Source organism: Homo sapiens, chromosome 3, assembly GCF_000001405.40.
Source record: "Homo sapiens chromosome 3, GRCh38.p14 Primary Assembly".
Lineage (NCBI taxonomy): Eukaryota > Metazoa > Chordata > Mammalia > Primates > Hominidae > Homo > Homo sapiens.
In genome coordinates, this window is record NC_000003.12 from 180,706,860 (window position 1) to 180,721,891 (window position 15,032).

The 15,032-nt window shown below is 33.6% G+C and overlaps 1 long non-coding RNA gene across 1 annotated transcript in view, besides 1 other annotated feature; it reads right to left on the bottom strand.

Moving 5' to 3' along the window:
* Nucleotides 1-729: 729 nt before the first annotated feature.
* LOC101928882 (uncharacterized) overlaps nt 730-15,032 on the bottom strand; it is a 162,590-nt gene continuing 148,287 nt past the window's right edge. The window contains exons 12-14 of the long non-coding RNA NR_109986.1: nt 4,451-4,523; nt 4,334-4,360; nt 730-2,045 (exon numbers count right to left, since the gene is read on the bottom strand). This is a non-coding gene — a long non-coding RNA (uncharacterized LOC101928882). The remainder of the gene's footprint in view (nt 2,046-4,333; nt 4,361-4,450; nt 4,524-15,032) is intronic.
* Nucleotides 11,780-13,311: an enhancer, noted in NCBI's record as "VISTA enhancer hs258". NCBI's record gives its function as "enhancer in: limb[3/5] | eye[3/5]" and the evidence as "EXISTENCE:transgenic organism evidence [ECO:0001131][PMID:17130149]".

Genomic DNA, 15,032 nt, shown 5'->3' on the forward strand with positions numbered 1-15,032 from the left:
GAGGCAGAGGTTGCGGTGAGCCGAGATCGTGCCATTGCATTCCAGCCTGGGTAACAAGAGCAAAACTCCATCTCAAAAAAAAAAAAAAAAGAAGAAAAAAGAAAAGAAATGAAATAAATAAATAAACGTTAGTTAATAAAATAGTTTCTAACAATCTTTAAAAATACCACTCATTGTTTTAAATTCAACTGAGTGCCCTTATTTTTTGTATACCAGAATTTGAAGTCATCCATGTTCTCTTTTTTCCTTTGATTTCCTTAATTTTTGTTCATTGTCTTTTCATTGCAGGAGGCATAGTAATTCACTGCTATCCTCAAAAGGACATTCTAGAAAACAAATGGCCTTTTTTATGTATTGTGGAAAAAGGAGGTATAGGCAAAGTAAATTTGGATTGTGTGGCTTATTATTTCCTGGCTGAGAAAAATTTGTTAAATTTTTTTGAAGCCTGAATTATCAAACCTGTTTGATCTTCAAGCCCAAGTAAAATATTACAGAAAATACTGATATATGGGTACAGGATTGGATTCAAGGTCAGGAGCCCAGGCTCCACTCTTGACTATGCCACCACAAGTCACGTTAGTTCCTGAGCCTCAGTTTCCTGATTTGTAGAACGAGAAAGTTAAACTAATGTCTAAGATTTCTTTAGACCTAAAATTCTATTCTGTGTCAAATCGTATGTTGATCTACTCTGCATGAGAGATACCTAAGAAAAATATATGTCAAAGATTATTTAATGTAATCATGGAGAAACAAATTTTATTACACTTACATTCTGCATTTTAATTTTATATCATCATCTAGATCTCCAGATAGATGTCGAGACATCTGAAACCTATTTGATCCTCATTCATGAAAATAAAAAATAGTTAATTTAGCCCTCCATGCAATGGTCCTCTTAACTGCATAGTGCCATTTTTTTCTTTTCCCTTCTGATAAGTAACTGAAATAAAACTAATGGATATACAAGTACAAAGATATCATAAGGTTGGGACCTCTGAGTCTGACAAACAAAAAGCCGATTCTGCGTCTGCAGCATGCTGTAGACACATGTGGCTTACTTTAGCTCACAATGGAGTAATATGAATTGTGCTAAAAAGCACTATTTGTGCAAATGCAAATAATATTCCATCTGCTCAGGATTTTTTTTTCCTTATATAGCTTTTGTTCCAGTGTGGTAAAAGCCTGTTTCTTTACCCTGAAGTGCTCCTGCTGATGAAGAGTGAAGTACATGACAATGAACTAAAATCCATTATCAAACAAATACAGTGAGCTTTTCAGCAAGTCATCACGGGGAATGTTGCCTTTTTCTCTGGCATTAAGTTGAAAGCGATTTGTGCTCATGCAAATAAGACAAAGTGGTAGGTTAAAAAAATTGTGTGTGTGTATATATATCTCTCTATATATAGATATATATATTCCATACACTGTAGTTTGCTTTGTAAATCTAACATTTTTATCTCTTTTTTGGTGGGGGAGGGCAGCAGCGAAATAGTTTGGCAGCCTTCTTTAGATTTCCTTATGGTTTGAGTCATGTTAAATTCTTCAACAGAAGAATTTAGCTCTGCCTTATGTTGTCTTGAATACCTTACTTGGGATTTGGGAGAACTGCTTTCCCAGTTCCTGAGAGAACCTAGGGCAAGTTAGAAGAAAACTTAACTCCTATGCTGCTGAAAGAAAACCATAAGTTTCAAGAGATCCAATTTCAGGATTTGCTGGTGGTGACAGTCAAAAGGTAAATCATCCAAGTTCAATCTAAAGGTATACATTTCTGCGTGCTCATATATTCCATTCTGTGTCCTGGACCTTAATCTGAGGGCTTTGTGATAATTATACACCTTCTAAAATTAATAGGCCATTTCTCTAGTTTTAGGAGGAGATAGAAATGAGGGACAATTATATGACTATTACACAAGATGTTGATAAGCCAACTCCAGAGAACACCAGTGTTTGGGAAAATGTATTCCATCTTCTTTTCGGTCCACTTGGTCTTCAGCTTTGTCCTTTGATTTACTTCCTTGCCCCCTTTCTCCTAAGATCCATGATTTCTATTTGGACAAAACAGAGAAAAAAAGCAAAAGAACTTGATCCTTTCTTCCTAAGATCAGGGAAGAACTGGGGCAGAAGAAGATTATAAGCTTGTATGAGCATGAAAACACACTTTTATTTTACACAAAAATTGAAAGCTCATTTTAAAGCATTTTTGGCTGTTTTATTTATGCCTGATGATTTTATTCAATACTAGTTGGATTTTAAATAATCTAACTAATGTTTTTCCTCTTCATGAAATTTGAAGATTATTCTTTTATGAAACAGTAGTTTTGGAGTTTAGCTTTTTTAAAATTTTTGCAGTTTATAGATTTCAGGCATTATGCATTTTTCTTTTCAGTTCAGCTTTATAATGCCATTTTCAATGAGCATTTATTTGTAGGTTTGAAATATAATAGAGCACGTACACTTTTATTCTGTTTAAATTTTTTTTCAAGTTTCTACATACAGCATTGATGAGCACATATAGTGATGTTAAGAGACAATGAAGTATTAGATGTAAAAGCACTTCAGTTATTAGGGTGAAAGATGTTATAGGCATTTAAAGTATTAATTCTATTAACACATATAATTTATAATTCTGGAAGAAATAATTGACTGAAAATGAACAGTATTTTCTTTCTAGAGTACATAGTAAACATCAACAGCTAATTTTATTATAGCTTATTTTCTGTGATATATATTAAACTACCTTTCACAGTTCAAGTAAAACCTGAAATTAAGCACTCAAGTACACAATTATCTCACATCAACAGTTTTGCTGTTAAGCTATCTGCAGATATTAACATCATTCCCCAAAGCATTCTATTTAACAGCTAAAACTGTGATCTAAGTGAATTAATAATTTAGACTATAGCAGTTATCTTTACATAGTGTCTATAATTATATTTACAATCTTGCAGTGTATTTTAGAGCTACTCAGAATTGTGAAGCAATAAAATAATATTTGCCCTAATAAGACCATTTATATCAAACGTGATTTCCTTTTATGTTAAGACAAGATAACTTTTCCCTCTTCCTGACTTCAAAGGGAAACACATTATTTCAAATATATTTTAAACTTTTACCATAAAACCCTTAGACATGAAACCATTAATATGTGGTTGGTGAGGAAAATGTCTTATTCCACTCACAATAAAGTCTGACTTTAATTAGACCCTGAAAAGTAAAGGATTTATATTCAAATCCTGGCCAACATTAATTACAGAGTTCTTAACATTGTAGCATGCCCTTTACTAAGTTTCGACAATATGTTCCATGCTAAATAAAAAAGGGGATCCACTTCTGGGGACAAGGGACTTGTTATTTTTAAATGTCATATGTACTGATATGTGATATATCATTGTAATGGCATCTCCTGAAATCCAAAGTGGCAAGGTAGAATTCCTTGTCTATTCCAGTGTTCTTTTTCCACATGGATAGGGAGCCAAAGGCCTGCCCTGAATCTTGAACATTTTTTCAGCTTATTCAGTAGGAAGATGATTCCCTTTGCCACTCTTTTTATAGTCCCTCCTCAATCTTAGTTAAATGAAGAGTTTATTTACATACAGCTGTGACTGCTACTGCCACTGCCAAAAAGGACCATTCCTGGGCCCATTTCATGGACAGTAGAAACGGGACCTAAGAGTGGCTGAGGATGAAAATACACAGGTGCAAGCCAGGTCCTCCCGAGGCCTATTGTGAGACCCTTTGCAATCTCTTCTTACTTAATACATGAAGATTTGCTCCTTTATCAATCAGTCAAGCAATCAATAGTTTTTTTTATTAAGCATCCATTTTCATATCAGGAGTTCTATGAACTGTATCCCAAGGCAGCATGCTGAAGGGCAAAAAGCCCTGGGCTAGATTTTGCATTCCCACCCAGTCCTGCCAATCATAAGCCATCTATGTGACCTGGTTAGTCTCTTAACCAGTCTTAAGGTGGCTCAGTTTTCTTACCTGTAAAATAGTTATAACTTCCCCCATTTGCCTCTTGGCATTGTTCTGAGAATTAAATAAGTTATGGAGAAAATGCTCTGGAAATTCTGAAATACTAAGCAGACAAAAAGTAGTAGTGGTATTGGACTTCATTCTGTAAGATCAATACATTTCTGTAACTACCCAAAGAAAAAGTCTTAGTAATTTCTAAATTGCAAAAAAGAAAAGAAAACAAATCTATTGTAAAAGATGCTTTAAATATCAAGTGAACACTGTCAACTCTAATTTTAGTAAATATTCAAGTAATTTGAAAGTTACTTTGGTACAAACAATAAATACATGTGATTTATTTCATTCATTTACCTCTTACCTTATTTTAGGCAGTCATCTTGAGTTTCTGGAAGTAAAACAGAAATAATTCTTAGTCAATCAGTATTCTGTAAATTTGGTTTTAGACTGAAGGAATTGTAAAAATTTGATAACGTACCATTTGTGCTTCACTGTGGGACTCCTTCCTGGTATTTCTTAGGATGTTTTCATGTTTTTCAAAATCCCATATTCTAAGAAAAAAAATTGAGAAACTGGGAAGACAGGAAATGTGTTATAATTATCCTGCATGAGTTAAGACTTCACAATCAACATAGGCATGACAGGTTTGAAGGGATCCACTGACAAGAAGTCAAAAGTAAGAGCTGGAAGCACTGCATGCCTGAATAACAGTTTGCCCATTCTGAAGCTTGGGTCTCTAGCCTCCTCACCAATCTCAAAGCCAAAAAGAAAAGTTAAGTAGTTGAAATGTATATTATAATATCCAGACAGTAAAATTTACACACTTTTCTCCTAGGAGAGACTTTTTATCAGTAATCAAAACCCATCTACTTCCTAATGGACATTTCTAATTTGTTCCAAGGTCAAAAATGATTAGAAGCAGCAGATTAGGAAAGGAGAGAAGGGTTGTAGAAGGATATTTCCTACAAACAGACTTTGGTATTTTAATAAGAAATGACAATGTAGAAGAAAAAGAAAACAGAGAAATACCACAAAAAATAAAGCAAGAACTCAAAAAAGGCAGGTATGTAGAGGCATTTAAGGATATGGTAAATGGTCTTATATATCTCAGAGAAGCCCTTTATAATTACCTACTGAAGACTCTTGAAAATGTCTGCGTTGTTAGTAAACAAAAGATTGACACTCATACTGGAAAATTTTTCAGTGAGAATTATTGAAATACATATTAAAGGGTTGTCAAGAGCTTAGTCCTTAGGAAGCAAGTTTGCCTTTAAAAATATAACCCACTTGCCAAGAATTCAAAGTACCCAGATTTAACTGTATTTTTACCTTAATTTTCAAACCAGCTGAACTCTGCAAATAAATATTATTGGCTCTCTGCTGATGTGGCAACTATTTAAGATAATACTGTATGTGGTTTTGTTACACTGTGATAAATTTCTACTTCTGTCTCCTAACTAGCAGAAGTGATCATTGGTTTAACATTGCTTTTCCTCAATTTCCATGCTAGCACCGACTATTCTTGTTTCATGCTTGTGACTATTATTGCAAGGTTTGTAATCAATACTGTGGCTGAGATAACGAGACCCACTGTATTCATAACAGTTTATCAACTGGAATAGTTTATTGCTTAGAATTTATTTTTCAACTGTTTTGACATATTATCTTATGATGGCAAAAAAATTTAAAAAATAGATTTGTATATAGGCTTTGTTAATTTTTTTGTGGCAATTCACAATTTATATCTAATTAATGGATTCCAATGTGGGTGCTCACAAGCCAAGAGGGCATAAGACAATTCATTGACAGGTGAGAACAAAATTATGAATTTATTTTTATTTTTGTCTTAGAAATAAAATAAATTATATTAATATTTAATAAATAGTTGACATTGGCATCCAAAATTGTTCAGCCTTTCATAAAACATTTATCAGTTTGCCTGAAGCATGTGTATGATTTTAGCAAGGCAGAGGGTTGACAGGAAAGCTCTAATATATCTACAAGCTTTTAGCATATTGTGGTCTATTGCAGTCTATGTCTGTGGATAAATGTGCATACACATATTACTTTAAAGAACAGAATCTTTACAATATCTAGAGTTAGATTGGAAGTGACCATAAAAATCCTGGTATATGGGGAGGCGGAGGCTGCAGTGAGCCAAGATTGCGCCATTGCACTCCAGCCTGGGCAACAGAACAAGACTCCATCCCAAAAAAAAAAAAAAAAATCCTAGTATATTACAGATGCTTGCTAGTAGTCTTTCCAAAAAGTACTTAGAAAAGTATTTGAGCTTAAAGATGAGTTGTGGCTTTTTTTTTAAAACAACTGTTCTAAATTTGTTGACTTTTACTGAGATGATAAATATTTGGCATTGGGTATTACCCAGCAGACATTTTTTTAAATAAATAAATTTAATGATGATAATGATGATGTTAGTGGGGGGAAAGGAGTTTTCTGTAACAAGTAAATAAACAAAACAAAATTATTTTTTAAATAATCACTTCATTTTTATCCTTTATTTCCTTTGTAATTTTGTGAACTTTATAACATATTTAATGTATATTACATATATTATATACTATATTTTATATGTATATATTTGTAGAGTAATGCTTCTAATAAATAAATGTATTGAAGCTGCATGCTCAAACACTTTTGACTAACTGAGATGTGAGATCAACTAACTCATGCATAATGGCAGCGACACTTTTGTACCTAAAGAAATCTTACTGATAACAATTGCCATGTTCCTGGTGATGGTCTATAGCACTCTAGAATCATGCTTTTATTTGTTTACCACACTAGACTTGGAAGACTTAATATGTATCAGTCACGATGTTTTCAATTGTAAGTAACAGTAATCAGCCAGAGGTAATTTGGGCTTCAGACAATGGATATCAGAGTACTAGGCACCACTTCATGTTATTTTCTTAGCTTCTCTCTTCTCTTTGAGTCAGCTTTGGCCTTTGGTCCCCGGGCTGACTTGCCTCATTATCTCAAGATGGTTGCCAACAGTAGCCAGGGCAACAGAATTCCTTGTTCATGTTTGAGGACAGTGTGTGTGTGTGTGTGTGCATGTGTGTGTCAGAGAGAGAGAAAGACAGAGAAATACTACTCCTACCAACCTTATTAGACACAGGAAGCTTCTTTCCCAGGGGGCCTAAGCAAGACTCTTCTCAAGTTTTATTGGCCTAAATTGGTTTAGACAGGACCTTATCTAAACCAACTTCTGTTAAGTGTGATAAGACTATCATAATCTGCCACTAAAGAGTTAAGATGGAACCACTATTGAGAGAGAATTCAATGATAATGTTCACTAGACAATATTCTCCCCATCTCACAGATTCTTTCCATTTTACTTACCCCAAACTGAATAATGTACCTAAGATTACCTAGCAAATGAGTCATTGACTTGAATGAAATACTTGTCATCATCATGTTTATTATTCACTATTATTATTACCAAAATACTAATAAAATAACTGAGATTTGTATTATATAAAAGAGCACGATATTAGGGGGATAATACCTACAGAAAAATAAATCAAAATTGTCAAAATCTAAGTCGGAAAGCATCATAAATCAATGAGACATCTAATACAAGGGGTTGGAAAAAGTGCCCAACTATGTACATGTAAAAATAAAACTAACAGCCTACCTCTTCCTAAATTCAAAAATAAATTTCAAATGGTTTGTGTAAATGTAAACATTGAAACTATAAAATTTAGAATTAATTTTTTTTTTGACGGAGTCTCACTCTGTCGCCAGGCTGGAGTGCAGTGGCACGATCTCAGCTCTCGGCTCACTGCAATCTCTGCCTCCTGGGTTCAAGCGATTCCCCTGCCTCAGCCTCCCAAGTAGCTGGGACTACAGGCACACGCCACCATACCCAGCTAATTTTTTGTATTTTTAGTAGAGATGGGGTTTCACCATGTTGGCCAGGATGGTCTTGATCTCTAGACCTCATGATCCACCCACCTCAGCCTCCCAAAGTGCTGGGATTAAAGGCGTGAGCCACCGCACCTGGCCAGAATTAATTTTAAGCAATAATTTTCTGCTCTCTAGGAGTGAAATATTTGGAGGTGACATTTATAAAAGCGCTAAAATTTATAACATTAAAAATAAAAAAGGACGTGTTTTCACTATAAAAACATAAAAATTTTCTGAGTGGGTGTGTGCTGATGCAGGAGGACAGAAGTCAGGCCAATCACACCATAATTGTTGAGTAATGGCATAGTCCAAAGTGAGCAAACTTTTCTATAAAGGACCAGATAATAAATATTTCAGACTTTGCAGGCCATATATTCTCTGTTGTGACTATTCAGCTCTGCCCTTGTTATTTAAAAGCAACCATAGATAATAAGTAAATAAGCAAGTATGACTTTGTTCCAATAAAACTTCATTCATTAAAAAATAAATAAAATAAAAAGACAAAAATGCCAAAAGTTTAAAACATCATAATATCAAAAGGCCAACAATAAGTGTAAAATAATAAAGGGTTTGTATTTTAATGTGTAAATAGTCCTCATAAACCAATAACAAAAAGATAAACACACCAATAGATAAAGGAAAAAAGGATAAGATGATTTACCAAAAAAGACATTTTAATTCCAATGAAGGTAGAAGAAAAAAGTCCAAACTCACTAGCAATAAAAAAAGTCCTAGTAAAAACAAATATATCTTTCACTTTTTAAACAAATTTAGTCAAAACAAATGAGATAGCTTGTTTCATTTATAGTGTTCAGTGCTAATGAGGCTTACATGAAACTGGTACTCATGCACTTTTGGTAGAAATTAAAATGTTCAATTATTAAATTTACAAAAGTTTTGAGAAATAATGTGATCAACTTACAAAAGAAGGATTTGAGAAGAATATTCTCACAGTTTGCTTGTAGCATACACAGTGCTACAACTCTTCTAGAGTTTGTCATTGTATCATAAATACCTTTAAAAATGTTTGTATTTGTTGACCACTATCTAATCTAAGAAGATAACAAGAAATACAGATAAAAACTTTCATTAATTAATCTATATAGTAGCCTTAAATTAAAAACAACCTAAGCATCTAAAAATAATAAATGGTTTGATAAATTACTGTTTAAGGTCACTCAATTGGCTATTTTGCAGCCGTTAAAAATTATGCTTTGATAATAAAAATATTATATAAAATAGCAGTATAATAATTTAAATACAACAAAATATAAATAGTATTTTAAAATAGTTAAGTCATGGTAAAGCACTATTATAGTGAAATATATATCAAATCTTAGAAAATACAATATGACATCAACTTTGAATATCTGAGTAGAAAAAAAAGCTGAGAAAACAGCACATTTAAATGCCTTTGAAATAAGAAAAGAAAAATTTAAAATTTTTAATATATATTGCTCTATATTTCTTAAATATTCTACAATGAAAATATCAAGAATTTTTTTGTTTAGAAGGTATTAAAATGTGTCATATGTTCAAAGTCCCAGTTCTCTTTTGAGAAACAAGCCCATCTCTACATTACTCATGGATGTACGTATTGAAGAATTATGTATGGAGATCATACCAATATACTAAAAAACACATAAGATCTAAAGTACAACAACAAAAAATGGTTTTACATACCTCTAGTTGACTAAACAGTTACATGTGGAAATCATAGCAATAATTTTACAAAAAATATGTAAGATCTGAAGCACACACAAAAAAGTAGTCTTACATACCTTCAGTTGATTAAGTGCACCTAATGTTTATTGAGTACCTATATATTAATAAGTCAATTATTTTTATCCATGTTTTACTCAATCTTCCCAACAAACTATGAGTAAAGTACTGTCATCTCATCTTTCTAAATGAATAAATTGATGCTCAAGTGAAGTTACATATCTAGCCAACATAGAGTAGCTAGGTAATGCCATTGCCAAATTTCAAATCTAGGTCTGTTAGATTCAAGAGTTTATAACTTTCTACAATTATATGCATGCTGCCTCTGAGGCAATTCACAAAGACACAACTGATCAATTAAACGAGGAATTAATTAAAAGTAAACTGTCTGAGGCCAGGAGCAGTGGCTCACGCCTATAATCCCACCACTTTGGGAGGCTGAGGTGGGCAGATCACGAGGTCAGGAGATCGAGACAATTCTGGCTAATATGGTGAAACCCCATCTCTACTAAAAATACAAAAAATCAGCCGGGCGTGGTGGTGGGTGCCTGTAGTCCCAGCTACTCGGGAGGCTGAGGCAGGAGAATGGCTTGAACCCAGGAGGCGGAGGTTGCAGTGAGCCGAGATGGCGCCATTGCACTCCAGCCTGAGCGACAGAGCAAGACTCCATAAAAAAAAAAAAAAAAAAGTAAACCGTCTGGAAAAAAAAAAAATCAAACTAAAGTTTTTGAGGAATAGCATGCAATTAATTTATTTGCAAAACTTTATTTTGTCTGAAGTATCCTGATAATTTGATTTATTTTCTAGTTTTAGTTTAGATTTCTTTCTTCCTATTCCAGAACGCTTAGAACTTATAGGAAGTTGTGACTACACAATGTTAATCACATTAATACTTTAATTATCTCAAGGAATTGGTGTCTCACTCTTTATGCAAGAGCTAGACTACATGCAGACTTCTGGGGAATAATGACACTTTGATTATTTGTCTTCTGTGGGATTTCTTAATGGCTCAAATCACCATTGCCAAAGTCAAAACAAGACATCTAGGAAGTTTCAGTTAGTTAAGTATCTTATAAACAGAGGATTAACATATCATGGTCCAAACAGCTGACTGATCTCAAACTCTGTAGTCTGTCTTTTGGGGACATTTGACAAAGCTCAATTGCTGGTGAATTTCAACTTGCAAATTTCAGAAGAGATTTAAAAGCATCCTAAGACTATATAATTACACACTGAAAATTTTAGAATTTATAATGCTAGACACATAAATAGTATTTTTCATTCGGTGTTGTTAAGGAATAAACATTTTGTCATTAAACTTTACCAGAAGGAGAGATGACACTATTTGAAAATTGCTATGGATAGATCTGAAAATGATATTTTACTCTATCTTATAGAAGCATCATTTTCAGAATCATTTATGTGCCTTTTGAGTTGTGTTGCTAGGTTTTATTTGCTTGATATTATTTTTGAGTGTCAGTTTTAAAACACTGTAAGCACATTTGTTACCTTTGTTTGAAAGATTTCTCCCCAAAAATGAAGGGAAATTGCTAGTTTGGATTCAGAGCAGAGATGAGAAAAAGAGGTATGTATCTCCCTTCCCCATCCCACTGTGCTTTCCCAAGACCCGTCCACTCTTACTCCACACATACACCACAAATACTCATTTGTAATTTTTTTATTCATATCAATAACTTATACTATCAAGATGGTCTTTTTAAAACGCCATTTAGTTATGGACAAAGCTTATATCAGAACACTATGAAGAAGAACCTTAACAGAAAATGAGCTTAGTTTATTTTTTGGAATTAGTTTAAAATGCTCTTTGAGTACTGTAGGTATCCTCCCTGGCACAGGATGCAATTGTCTTAAAAAGTGACCTCTTTATACTGAAATTTTATGAAATGCTTTGGAAGCTGTCCTTATCTTCTTCAGTCAGAACTATAATTAGGATTTATTTTCAACATAGTATTTTGATGGCTTTTTTAACACCATGGCACTGAAAGTGTAGAGCTTCCTCAATAATATTTATTCAGCCTTTGAAGACACAGTCACCTGATACATCCTAAGAAACTTTTGATCATAGCTGAACAAAGTGAAATAATTAACAGGAATTAATTTTAAGTGATTGGGAATTCCACTTAATTGAGAATCTTAAGTGATTTCCAAAACCCTCTGGAAATAAAAACTTTTCACCTGTGGTTAAACCAAGAGATCAAGTATTCTTTGACCAATAAAGACTCTCCTCACCATCAGCTAGAAAACACCCTTTGAAATCCAGTTAACTCTTTCATGCAGACAATGTTCATTTTCTATTTTATCAGAAAGTTAAATTTGCCATTCTATACTCCAATAAAAGTTAAGTTGTTTTGATCTGATAATTGTAAGATGTACTGTATGTATCTTAATTTATAAGTTTTAAATGCTAAAGCTCAAGGCTGTTCAGATATAACAGGAGTGCTGGAAATGAGGTACAAAATGCTGGAATTCAAATTAACCAATAAATATATTTTAATATATATCAGCAGGACTCTAGAGGATTCCATTAATGTTGAAAAATAGAAAGGATTTAGGTTAATTTGGTAAGAAGGCAGGTCAGAACGTTTACAACAGTGGTATAGAATTGTATAGAGATGCAAAATTTTTCAAGAGAGCAGAATTTTTTCAAAAACGCTGACTCTAGCTGTCACAGCCCTGCCTTGGCTAAATCCAGTGGAGAGATAGGAGGACTTTCTAATTTGCTTTCCCTCTATTTTAATAATAGCTGTGCATAAGTAATTTATGAAAGGCCAACCAGGCAGTGGGCAACAGAAAATTAAACTCATTTTATCTGAAAGCAGGTGGATTTCTATATATCATTAGCATGCATAGAATTCTCACAATGTTATTTCTCATACTGATGGAATGTAACCAAATAATATATGAGTTTTTTGCTTATGCACGAGTGAAATTTTTAGATAAAAGTGCCAGCCCCAATGGCAATTTTCTGCAAAACGAAAACTAATTCTGCGAAGCTTCTTATTACTGGAAAGACTCATTTGGCTTGCATTAGAGACTGACATAAGTGACTTTAGGATTTTACTAACAGATTAGATGAGATGTGCCACATACTGTAATATCATTAGAGAATGTAACAGCACTGGAATGCTTTGGGGCACTTATTAAGGGTACCGACACAAGTAAATTGTTTTCCTTTTTGACGCGAGCTTTTGAATGTCTTCCCTCTGATTAGAATGCTTTATTTTTATGGTTGCTTTTTATGATATTTAAAACAACTTTTATTTTATGCTCCCTGAAACTGCACACAAATTATGTTTTGCATGATTCAGCTCAGTGTTACTAAATGCATTATCTATGCCTTATTTCGTGAATATCACCTAGGCAGAGGGTAGATACGTATTAAGAAAACAGCTTACACAATACTAAAGTCAGAATTCTTCTAACAGAATATTATCCTAACTTACAGCAAAGACTAATCTTCATGGCTCTGAGGAATTTTTGCTATTAGTACCTTTCACTCAATGTTTGTGTGAGTTCTACTATCAACTTCTAACAAAATCTTAGAATTAGATCATTAGAAATGGTTACTATAATATGAATACTTCTATTGTTCCGTTTAACTACCATCCTAAAACTCATTCAAGTATATTAAATATTATAGTTCTTTTTATTCTGATGAATCTTCCCTTATCAAAAATTATGGATCAAGCAAAATTTTTTTGCTAAGGTAGGCAAAAATGTGAAGTGGGGATGGAAATGCTTATCACCTTATGAAAGAAGCTAAGGGAAAGGCTGGAAGTATAGGGGAGATGATTTTATGCTCAATATTTTTCCTTTTCTGAGTTATCTTTTCCTGATATAAGTTTTTACCTTTTCCTGGGCATAGAGCAGGTTGGGTCCTTTCCCCCTCCTTTTATACTTCATCATCAGAAAAGAAAATTAATGAGAAAATGAACACATACAGTTACCTAGAGCCACAGAAATGCATTTTGGGAAGTGTTATTCAGTGTCCTAATCTATAGAGTGCTGAGGTTTACAGCCTGTGAAGCCAAACAGATGGGCAACTGAATCCCAGCTCTGCCATTTGACTAATTGCCTAATTTTAGACAAACGACTTACCATCTTTTAGTTTTTATTTCCTCCCCTATAAAACGGGATTATGATAACTCTGACCTCGAAGGCTCTCTGTGAAGATCTCATGCAACTGAATCATTCTGCTGTTCATATTCTATCACCATAATGGAAGGGGAGGCACCTGAAAACAAAGGGTGGCCTAATGGGCCATTTACCACTCATTGTGGTAAATGTTTCAGATTTCTGTAGTAAGAACTCAAGAACCCAAAATTGTGTTAGTTAAGAAATAGAATGTGAAAATAATCCATGAGACAATCCTCCTTGAAATATCATGATCTAAAGACTCTTCAATCTAGCCGTGACTGAAGTCAGTCATCTCTGTGTTCAAAAGTCATCTCTTCTGAGGACTTCGTTGGTCACAGACACCTGTGTGCTCCTAATTCTATTTTTTATTAGCACACTTATCACACTGCTTTGGTATTATTTACTCAAATATCCTCATGTCTTGCACTCTTTGAAGGCAGGCACTTTGTCTTTTCAACTCTAATTCTAGCAGCCGGAACAATGCCTGATACATAGAAGTCACTAAAATACATGTCTACGAGCTTTCCATGAATTTACATTTTTCCATGAATTTATGTTTGAGATCTGAAAAAAAATTAATACAAAATAGAAAAAAAAACTTTTAAAATGAATGTATTTAATTAAATTTCCATAAAGTGCTCCATTCATGTCTTATTACCTATGAAATTTAATATTCATAAAAATTAATTACATTAAAAATGTAAGGTGTATTTTCACATCAGAAAAATTTCTGAGATGCACAATAATTACCAAGAAATTATAATCAATCTTAAAATAAGTTATACATAACCAAATAATTTTGGATATAAAAGGATTAAAATCCTTTCAAATTATTTTTACAGTAAAAAATCTATATATAATTAATACAGAATATTGGTGCATTTTGATGTGATACGATGTGGGATAGGGCCTGTGAAAGTGTGAGTGCCCAGGCCCTCGGAGGTCTTCAACAGCCTGATAACAGTGGGCCAGAATTTAAACAGGCTGGCTCAAGCATAGTGAGACTAATCAAGAAAAGCTTCTTAGTGGAGGTTTCCCTGATCTTCACTATAAAGGTGGAGAGAGAGAGATGGTTTGGAGAAGCGGAGTTAGGCTTCACCAGAACTAATCTCGTAAGTAAGCAAAGTAAGAGACTGAGAGTATTTTCCAAGATGCTAGACAAGACCCCTTGACTCATTGCACCTTCATCCCCTCACCCGAGAAACTTTTCCACTATGCTTTTTGAGACCTAAAATTCTACCCAAAAGAAT